Here is a 12,119-nt window from a genome sequence, read left to right on the forward strand (position 1 = left end):
TCTTCTTACAAATACGCTAATCCTTTCAGATCAGGGCCCCATTTTTACAACCTCATTTAACTTTAATCAATTCCTAAAGGCCCTTCAAATACAGTCACCACAGGGGTTAGGGCTTCAACATATAAATTTGTAGGGGACACAGTTCAATCTATAGCAGAAGGTTATACCTTTGGATGAATGGACACTTTTACTAATATGAATACTCCTCCTTATTTCTAGCAGTATTCCTTTTACTGAAGTCTATTTTATTTGATATAAATGAAGCAATTCTTACTATCTATGATTAGTGTTTACATTATACATATTTTTTCTATCCTTTTACTGTTTATCTCCCTGGGATTTAGATTAAAAATATATTTCTTATAGATAACATGTATTTGGGAGTTTTTTTTTTTAATTCAATATGGCCGTTGCTGCTTTTAGTTTAGTTCTTCTTTTTTTAGATATTGAAATAGTTGGCTTTAAATTTGCCATCTTGCTACTTGTCTACTTTTTGTCTATCTGTTCCTTTTTCTCTTTCTGTTTTTTTGAATTGTGTATTTTTCAATATTCCATTTTTATTTCCTCCATTGGCCAATTAGCTATATGTATTATCTTTATTCTTTTACTAGTTGATTTAGAGTTTACAAGATCTGTCATTAACTAATCGAATAATAGTATACTTGCTTACATAAGGTGGAAAACCTTAAAGTGATATACTTTCATTTCTTTCATCCTTTGTCTTCCCATTGTTAGCCTTCCATCCCACTGTTATCGGATATATTATGTCCACATATTTAATAAATTCCACAGCATATTAATATTATTATTGTTGTAAACAGTCCATTGCTTCTGAAGACTTTTTTTTTTTTGAACGAGAAAAGTTAACAAGTTGTCTTCCACAGCACTTAAAAAATATCCATTTGACTGTCTCCTGCCCTGCATTGTTTCTGATGGTCATTATTATTTTTGTTCCCTATACGTAAGGTACCTTTTTTAAAAAGAGACTTTATTTTTTGGGGTCACAGCAAAATGGAGTGAAAGGCACAGAGATTTCACAAATGCTGCCTGCCTTTACACACACATCACCTCCCCCCGCATACGCATCCCCTGCCAGAGCGGTGCATATGTTACAACTGATAACCTACACTGACACATCACTATCACCCAGAGTCCACAGTTTACATTAGTTTTTATTCTTGGTGTCATTAATTCTCTGGGTTTAGACAAATGTATAATGGTATTTATCCACCATGATAGTATCATAGAGAGTAGTTTCACTGCCCTAAAAAAATCTTCTGTGCCCTGCCTATCCCTCCCTCCCTGAAACCCTTGACAACCGCTGACCTTTTTACTGTTTCCATAGTTTTGCTTTTCCAGAGTATCATATAGTTGGAGTCACAGTCTGTAGCCTTTCACATCAGCTTCTTTCACTTGGTAATATGCATTTAAGTTTCTTCCATGTCTTTTCATGGCTTGATATCTCATTTCTTTTCATCACTGAATAGTATTTCATTGTCGGGATGTACCACGTTTTACTTATTCATTCACCTACTGAAGAGCATCATGATTGCTGCTAAGAATAAAGCTGTTATAAACATCCATATGCAGGTATTTCAGACACAAATGAACATCCAGTGGACTAAAGTTTTCAATTCCTTTGGGTAAATACCAAGGAGCACATTGCTGTATTGTACGCTAAGAATATGTTTAGTTTTGTGAGAAACCACAAACTGTCTTCCAAAATGGCTGTAGCATTTAGAGTTCCCCGCCAACAATAAATGAGAGTTCCTGTTGCTCCCCCTCTTCATCAGCAATTGGTGGTGTCAGTGTTCTGGATTTTGGCCATTCTGATAGGTGTGCAGTGGTAGCTCACTGTTGTTGTAATTTGCATTTCCCTGACGACATGTGATGTTGAGTATTTTTTCATGTGCCTATTTGCCACCTGTACCTCTTCCTTGGTGAGGGACATAGTGTGTCTTTTATTGCTGGCTGATTTTGAGATGTTCTCTTTATCACAGGTTTTTAGCAATTTGAATATAATGACATTGCCCATGATGCTTTTTGCATTAATTCTTCTTAGGTTTCAATGCATTCTTTAGAATAGTGTGTTTATATTTTTCATCAAATGCAGAACATTTTCAGTTATCGTTTCTCCATACATTTTCTCTGCCCTTGACCCCTTCTAGGACTGCAATTAGAGATAAGTTACACCCCTTGACATTGTTCATCTTTAGAGATGTTACACTCCTTAACAAGTTCATTTTTTTCCAGTCATTTCCCTCTCTGTGCTTTAGCTTGGATAGTTCGAGTACCTTGTCTTCCATTTTACTGCCTTTCCTTTTGTCACATCACATTTTCTGTTAAGCCTATCTGGTGTTTTTTCAGACTTACATTATTTTTTAAAATTAACGTACAGTACAATAAACTTTTTTTTTTGGTGTACCATCAAAACTGACAAGCTGATCCTAAAATTCGTAGGAAAACATAAGAAACCCAAAATAGCCAAAGCATTCTTGATAAAGAACAAATTTGGGGGTTCGCAATTCCCAGTTTCAAAACTTACTATAAAGTCATGGTAATCAACACTATGTGGATGTAAAATAGCAATAGACATATAGATCAATGTAATAGAATTGAGAGCCCACAAGTAAACCCATATATTTATGGGCAATTGATTTTCAACAAGCATGACAAAGACAATTCAATGGAAGAAGTAATAGTTTCTATAATAAGTGGTACTGGGACAACTGGATACCCACACAGCATAAGAATGAAGATGGACCCTTAGCTCATACTATTTACAAAAATTAACTAAAAATGTTTCAAAAACCTAAACATAAGAGCTAAAACTATAATATTTTAGAAAAAACATAGGCATAAATCTCCATCATTTTGGATTAGGCAGTGGTTTCTTAGATATGACAGCTAAAGCATAAAAGAAAAATAGATAAATTGGCATCAAAATTTAAAACCTATGTGTTTTATTTTTTATTTTAATTTTATTTTATTTTATTTTTGAGACAGAGTTTCACTCTGTTGCCCAGGCTGGAGTGCAATGGCACGATCTTGGCTCACTGCAACCTCTGCCTCCCGGGTTCAAGCAATTCTCCTGCCTCAGCCTCCCTGGTAGCTGGGACTATAGGCGTGTGCCATCATGCCTGGCTAATTTTGTATTTTTAGTAGAGATGTGGTTTCTTCATGTTGGTCAGGCTGGTCTCGAACTCCCAATCTCAGGTGATCTGCCCACCTCGGCCTCCCAAAGTGCTGGGTTTACAGGCATGAGCCACCATGCCTGGCCCTAAAACCTATGTGTTTTAAAGGACACTATTACAGAGAATAAACAGCCCAATGGAATGGGAGAAAATACTTGTAAATAATATATTTGACAAGTGTCAAATATCCAGGAAAATAATATATATATATACAACTCTTACAGCACAATAATTTAAAAAACTAAATTATGAGCAAAGGATTCAAATAGACATCTCTCCAAAGAAAAGATACAAATGATCAATAAGAACATGAAAAGATTCTCAACGTCATTACCCATCAGGATAAATGCAAATCAAAATGATAAGATAACAGTTCACACCCACCAGGGTTGCTATAATCAAATATCTCAGACAGATAACAGCAAGTGGTAGCAAGGATGTGGAGGTATTAGCACCTTCATACACTGCTAGTGGGGATGTAAAATGGTACAGCTGCTTTAGAAAACAGGCTAGCAGTTCTTTAAACAGTTAAATATAGAGTTACCACATGACCCAGTAATTCCACTCCTAGGTATAGTCCCAAGAGAAATAAAAACGTATGGCCACACAAAAACTTGTACACAAATGTTCCTAGTAGCATTATTCAAATAGCCAAAAGTGGAAACAACTCATGAATGGATAAACACAATGTGGTATACCCATACAACAAAAAATTCTGCAGCCATAAAAGGAAGTACTGAAACATGACAACATGGCTGAGCCTTGAAAATATTTAGCTAAGTGAAAGAAACCAGACACAAAAAGCCACATATTATATGATTCCACTTATACAAAATGTTCAGAATAGGTGAATCCCCACAGACAGAAAGCAAATTGGTGGTTTCCAAGGGCTAGAGGAAGGGACAATGAGAGTCACTGGTAATGAATACAGGTTGTTGTTACTTTTTAATCTTAGGAATGATGGAAATGGTCTGGAACTGGGCAGTGAGAATGTTTGCGTAACTTCTGAATATACTAAAAACAACTGAACTGTGCACTTCAGAATAGTTTTATGGTGTGTGAATTATATCTAAATTTTTTAAATGTTTGAAAAAATCATTTGGCCATTTTCATGTGAGTCTATTTCTGACTCTAATCTATTTTATTGGCCTATGTTTCTGTCCCTTCACCAATATCATACTGTCTTCATTGTTGTAGCTATAATACATAGTAAGTCTTAAAACTGGGTAGTGTGAATCCTTGATCTTTATTCTTCTTTTCTAAAATTGTTTAACTATTCAAACATCTTTTGCTTTCAATATAAATTTTAGAGTTATATTGTCTATGTATATAAGTATTGCTGATTTTTAAAAATTTTTAATGTTTAATTTTTATGGGTACATGGTAGGTGTAGATATGTATGGGGTACATGAGATATTTTGATACTGGCATACAATGCATAATAATTACAGAGTAAATGAGGTATCCATCATCTAAAGTATTTATCATGTCTTTGTTCTGTAAATAATCCAATTATACTTTGATTTTTAAATGTACAATAAATTATTGTTGACTGTAGTCACCCTGTTGTGCTATCAAATACTAGATCTTATTCATTCTAACTTTATTTTTGTACCCATTAACCATCCCCATTGTTGGGATTTTGATTGAAATTGTGTTGAGTCTAGAGATCAATCTGGGAGAAAACTGACATATAAAATATATTGTCTTCCAATCCATGAACAAAGCATGTTTCTTTATTTATTCAGGGCTTCTTTTATTTCTTTCGTCAATATTTTGTAGTTTTCTGCATATAGATCTCAACCACGTTTTGTTATATTTATCATAAATGTTTCATTTTTTGAAACTATATGTGATTTTTAAAAAATTTGTGGTTAAACAATTTTTTAAGAGTTCAATTTTATTTATTTTTTCATGTGTTTCAAAGTCATTCACGTGATCCAAAATCCTAAATGTACAAAAGAAATTTGTACACTGAATTCTTTCTTTCTTCCCAGTCTCTCAATCATCCAGTTTCCCCACAAGCCGCAGTGTTAGCATTTTCTTGGACAAACCCATAGTTATATTTTATGCATATCTCATGCTCTTCCCTCTATCTTATTTCTCTAATAGTTCACTATATTCACTGTGATACCTCAGTGTAGTTAAAATTTCATCTCTCTTATTGTAAATGAGGTTGATTATACTTTCTGAAGCTTTAAGAGATATTTGTATTACATTTTGGTTTCTAAATGTACATTGCTAGTAAATAGAAATACAATTGACTTTTACATGTTGACCTTTTATCCTGAAACCCTGCAAGGCTCATCAATTAATTCCAAAATCTTTTGTGTAGATTCATTAGAATTTTCCTCATAGGCAGCTACCAGTGAATAGGAACAGCTCATTTTTCTTATAAAATTGGTGTGCTTTTATTTCTTTTTCTCACCTAATTGCACTTGCCAATACTTCCAATACAATATTAAATAGGGGTGATGAGACCAGACATCTTTGCCTTGTTCCTGATTTTAGGGAGATGCATTCAGTAATTTACCATCATAGATGTCCTTGATTATATTAAGGATTTTCCCCACTATTCCTAGTTTGTGCAAAGTTTTTTTTAAATCATGAATGGATGTTGAAATTTTTCAATACTTTCTGCATGAATTGACATTATCATATGGCTTTTCTTCTTTAGTATGCTAACATTGTGAATTATATTGACTAATTTTCAAATATTGAACCAGCCTTGCATTCATGGGATAAACCCCATTTAGGTATAAGGTATTTTAAAAAATATATTTCTGGATTCTATTTGAGAACATTTTGTTGAGGTTGTTTGTGTCTCTGTTCATGCAGGATATTGGTTTGTAGTTTTCTTTTCCTGCACTGTTCCCTGGTTTTAGTATCAGAGTAGTGTTGGCTTCATAAGTTGAGTAGAGAAGTGTTTCCTCCTATTTTATTTTTCTGGAAGAGATTGTGTCAAATTGGTGTTATTTCTTCTGTAAGTGTTTGGTGGAATTCACCAATGAGCCTAGAAATTTCTGTTCCAAAACAATTTTAATTGCAAATTTAATTTCTTCAAATGACATAGGACCATTCAGGTTGTCTGTTTCTCCCTGGGTGGGTTTTGGTAGTTTGTAGCTTTTAAAGAGTTGGTTCAGCCAGGCGTGGTGGCTCATGCCTGTAATCCCAGCACTTTCGGAGGCTAAGGCGGGCAGATCATGAGGTCAGGAGTTCGAGACCTGCCTGGCCAATGTGGTGAAACCTGTCTCTACTAAAAATACAAAAATTAGCCGGGCGTGGTGGCGGGCATCTGTAGTCCCAGCTACTCAGGAGGCTGGGGCAGGAGAATCACTTGAACCCAGGAGGTGGAGGTTGCAGTGAGCTGAGAGCATGCCACTGCACTCCAGGCTGGGCAACAGAATGAGACTCCATCTCAAAAAAAAAAAAGAGTTGGTTCATCTAAAATTTAAAATATAGGTACATACATAAATTTGTACATGGAACTCCCTTATTATCTGTTTAATGTTTATGGTGTGTAGTGATATCCCTTCTTTGCTGATATAGGTAGTTTTTATCTTTTTTCTTTTTTCTTCATCAGCCTGACTAGAAGTTAGCTAATTGTACTGATCTTTTCAAAGAACAATTATTCTGTTTCATTTATTTTCTCTATTATTTTTCTGCCTCCGCTGATTTCTTCTCTCATTTTTATTGTTTCCTTCCTTCTTCTTGTTTTGGGTGTATTATGCTTTCCTTTGTTTACTTGATTAAGGTAGAAGTTTAGATTTAATAATTTTGAATTATTTCTTTTTTTCTAATAAAAACATTAAGTGATAAAAAAATTTTCTAGCCAATGCTTTAGCTATACCCTCAAATTTGGATATATTTTCAATTACATTTAGTCAAAAATATTTTCTAATTCCTCTTGAGACTTCTTGTCCAACGAGTTATTTCGATGTGTTAATTTACAAGTGTTTGCTGACTTCCCACTTATTTTTCTGTTACTGATTTCTAGTTTAACTTCATTATTGTCAGAGAACATACTTTGAATTATTTAAATTTTTAAAAATTAGTTAAGGTTATTTTATGATGCAAGATATAATCCATCTTGTTAGATATTCCACATGTACTTGAAAAGAAAAAATTTGTGCTCTGCTATTGTCAGATGGAGTATTCTAAAAGTGTCAACTGGATTCTTTTGGTAGATGGTGTTGTTCAGGTCTTCCAAATCCTTACTGATTTTCAGTTTACTTCTTCTATTGGTAATTGAGAGAAAGGTATTAAAGTTTCAAACTATAATTGTGAGTGTTTCTATTTCTTCTTACAGTTTTGTCAGCTTTTGCTTCATTTATTTTGAAGCTCCATTGTTAGCTGTATACATATTTAGGACTTTTATGTGTTCTTAGTGAATAGACCTTTATATCATTGCTCTGATGTCTACTTTTTCTAATATTTATATACCCACTCCAACCTATTTGTATGGTATATCATTTTGCATCCTTTTACCTTTATCTTATCCATATAATAATATTCTAAATGGGTTTCTTATAGACAGCATACAATTGGTTCTTGTTTTCTAATTCCATTCTTATAATCTCTCTCCTTTAATTTGTATGTTTAAACACTTATATTTAATGTAATTTTTGAAGTTTGGGTTTAGATCTACAATTTCTTTGTTGGTTTTCTATTTGTTCCTTGATTTTTTTATTCTGGTATTTTCCCCTCCCTTCCTTTATTTGGATTATTTAAATATGTTTAGTATTTAATTTATATTTAATTCTTCAGATTTTTAAATGATATCTCTGTACTTTCTTAAGTGATTGCACTGTGGATTACAATATTCATTGTTATATATATATATATATATATATATATATATATATATCTTTTTTGTAATCTACATAGAATTAGTATTTTACCACTTTAGGTGGAATTTTAAAAACTTTTTTTTTTTTTGAGACAGAGTCTCACTCTGTGGCCCAGGCGGGAGTGCAGTGGCACAATCGCAGCTCTCTGCAACCTCCACCTCCTGGGTTCAAGTGATTCTGCTGCATTTGCATTTCAAGTAGCTGGGACTACAGGCGCGTGCCACCATTCCTGGCTAATTTTTGTATTTTTAGTAGAGACAAAGTTTCACCATGTTGGCCAGACTGGTCTCGAACTCCTGACCTCAAGTGATCTACCCGCCTCAGCCTCCCAAAGTGCTGGGATTACAGGCATGAGCCCCTACACCTGGCTGAAATTTAAAAATTTTACTGTCATACTTTACCCTTTTCCCTTTATCATATAGTTGCCATATATGATACATGTGTGATACTACCCCCAGTGAAAATCACATCAGTGTTATACTTTGACATTAAATGGTCATACATATTTTAATGAATTTAAGAGGATAAAGATAGTGTGTTATATTTACCCATATATTTGCCATTTCTGTTTTTCTTCTTAAATTCCCAATGTTTCAAGTTTGCCTCTGGTGTCATTTTCCTCCTATCTAAAAAAAACTTCCTTTAGATTTTTTTTTTCTTAAAGGAGATCTACTGGCAATGAATTTTCTTAATTTTCCTTCATCTTACAATATATTTATACCATTTTCATTTCTAAGGAATATTTTCACTGGACAGAAAACTCTGGGCAGACAGTTTTGGGTTTTTTTTTCAGTATTTTTTAAATGCTGTGCCACTTTCTTCTATCCTCTGTAATTTCTGATGAGAAATCCATCATCATACAAATACTTGATCCCCTGTTTAATGTTTCATTTCTGTTTGGCTGCTTTCAAGATTCTTTTCTTTGTCGTTGTATTTAGCAGTTGATTATCCTGTGTCTGTTCATTAATTTGTTTAAGTTTATCTTGTTTGGGATGCACTGAGCTTCTTGAATGTGTAAGTTCATGTCTTTCACCAAATCGGGAAATTCTCAGCCAGTAGTCTTTCCTTCCTTTCTTCCTTCCTTCCTTCCATCCGTCTTTCTTTTCTTTCTTTCCTTCCTCCCCTCCCCTCCCCTTCCCTCCTTCCTTTCCTTCCTTCCTTCCTTTCTTTCTTCCTTCCTTCTTTCTTTCCTTTCCCTTCCCTTCCTTCTTTCCTTCTTTCCTTCCTTCCTTCCTTCCTTCCTTTCTCTCTCTTTCTCTCTCTCTCTCTCTTTCTTTTTTCTTTTTCCCTTTCTTTTCTTTTCCTTTTCTTTCTTGAGACAGGGTCTTTCTCTGTTGCCCAGGCTGGAGTGCAGTGGTGTGATCTCAGCTCACTGCAACCTCTGCCTCCCTGGTTCAAGCAATTCTCATGCATCAGCCTCCTGAGTAGCTGGGATTACAGGCATGAGCCACCATACTCGGCTAATTTTTGTGTTTTTAGTAGAAACGGGGTTTCACCATGTTGTCTAGGCTGCTTTTGAACTCCTGACTTCACGTGATCCACCTGCATTGATCTCCTAAAGTACTGGGATTACAGGCGTGAGACACCACACCTGGCCTCAGCTGGTATTTCTTCACATATTATATCAGTACCACAGTCTTTCTCTTCTCCTTCTGTGTTTCAATAATACAAACATTAGATCATTTCATGTTATTCCATAGGTTCCTGATGCTCTGTACATTGATTTTCTTTCTTTCTGCTATTCAATTTCTATTGCTCTAGCTTCAACTTTACTGACTTTTTCCTCTGCTCTCCATTCTGTTATTGAGTCCATCCAGGGAATTTTTAATTTCACTTGTTGCAGCTTTACGTTCTAAAATTTTCATTTGTTTCTTGTTTGTATTTTCTATTTCTTTGCTAAGATTTTCAATCCTTTCATCTCAAAAGTTTCCCTTTAGGTATTGCAGCATGGCTACAATAGCTGCTTTAAGTCTTTAAAAATTCCAACATGTGTCATTTTAGGGTTGATGCCTTTTGATTGTCTTTTTCCTTTTAGTTTGAGATTTTTCTGGTTCTTTAAATACAAGGCATTTTGGGTTGTATCCTGGACATTTTGGATATTATGTTATAAGGCTCTGTGTCTTATTTAAATCCCAAAGAGAATGTTGACATTTTTGTTTTAATACACAATTGACCTGATTAGGTTTGGGCTACAGGTTCTGACCCACCACCTGTGGGCTGTGGTTCCAATGTCAATTCAGTTTTCAAAGGCTTTGCAATAATACTATGTGACTCTGCTCTGCCTGTGCATTCTCCATGGGCTTGTCTGGGACCTGGGGTTGTGGTCTACCTGTAAGCTCAATTCTCAAAGCCTGTGGTGTGCTATGAGGAACAGATCCATGCCGACGCAGCTCAGAAGTGAGCCTAGAAATTCATACACAATTCTATGGGCTTTCTCTCTTGAGACCTTTTCTTTCCATTATCTCCTCTGGAGCCTCCCTTTCTCAACCTGTGGCCAGAAAGGCCAGGCTTTAGTTTCTCACTCTGCTACACGCTTCCCACAACTGTGACTGCATCCAGAGCCAATCTGTGGGAGGATCCAGGGAGAGAAAAAACAATGACACTTTGTCTTACACTCCTGGTACCATGGCTCTTCTGGTCAGAGAGAAGGATTCCTGTCCATTAGAGTTTTAGGCACCCTTCCAACAGCCACTGCCCTTGTCACCCCTGCTGCTGTGGGATTGCTTGAGGCTGGGAGGGAGAGGACAGAAAAATAACCAGGGTATTCCTCTCACTCTCTGACTCTCAGGATTCCCCTTTCCTGCTCTTTTAGCAGAAAGAGAAGGCTTCTCTTGGAGTGCTCTTTGTCCACACCCATTGTGCCCTCCCAGGTTTTGGGGGAAGGGGCTTTGAGTCCAGGCTGGGTAATACTGGAGGAAAAGTACATGGGAAATACATCACTAATTTGGTGGCCCCCCGGCTTCTGGCCTCATTCCCCTGTCAGCTTACCATTGCTTTTTCAGAGTTCTCAGGCGGCTGCCCCTTGCCTTCTGTCCAGGAAGCATCATTTCACTCAGTGGAAAGGCAGATGAAAGGTGCTTATTTCTTCTCGCCCAGATCAGGAGCCTACCTCCATCTAGTCAATTTTTCATTTCAGATAGGGTATTTTTCCAGCTCTAGAGTTTCCTTTTTTTTTCTTTTTGTGATTTCAATGTCTCCCCTTGTTATGTTTGCATTTTTTAAAAAAATCCTTGAATATATCTATAATAGTTGTTTTAAAGTCCATGATTACTAATTCTATCACCTCTGCTTTTTCTTGGTCTGTTATTATTGATTCTTTTTTTTGTTTGTTTGTTTTGGGTTACATTTTCCTGCCTTTTGCATGTCTAATAATTTTTATGGAATGCTGGACTTGAGAAAATTGCGTTATTGAATATCTGGATTTTGTTGTCTTCCTTTAGAGAGTGTTGCACTTTGTTCCGATAGGCACTTAATTCCTTTGTGCATCAACTTGAAACTTTCAAGATTTGTTTTAAAACTTTGTTAGGGCTTTATCTAGGGTCATTTCTTTCTGTGTTCTCTATTGAACTACAGGCACATGCCACTATAGAAGGGGGATACATTCTGAGAAATGCATTATTGGGCAATTGTGTTGTGCAAACAACATAGAGTGTTGAGTGTGCTTACGCAAACCTAGATGGTATAGCTTGCTACACACCTAAGTTATGTGGTACAGCCTATTGCTCCTAGGCTACAAACCTGTGCAACGTGCTGCTGAATACTGTAGGCAACTGTGACACAATGGTAAATATTTGTGTATCTAGACATATCTAAACATAGGAAAGGTAATGTGTTGTATTATAATGTCACATGGCTACGATGTCACTAGGTGAGAGGAATTTTTTAGCCCCATTATAATCTTATGGGACTCCTGTCATATATGTGATCCATCGTTGGCCAAAAATATCGTTATGTAGTGCATGACTGTAATTTGGTGTTCAGTGAGGACTCTCTCCTCTGGCTGGCCAGAACTTGAGGGCCTCCCAACCTGTGTGAGCTCTGGTTACTGCAATGTCTACAGCTGCCTATACCTGTG

Source organism: Homo sapiens, chromosome 15, assembly GCF_000001405.40.
Source record: "Homo sapiens chromosome 15, GRCh38.p14 Primary Assembly".
Lineage (NCBI taxonomy): Eukaryota > Metazoa > Chordata > Mammalia > Primates > Hominidae > Homo > Homo sapiens.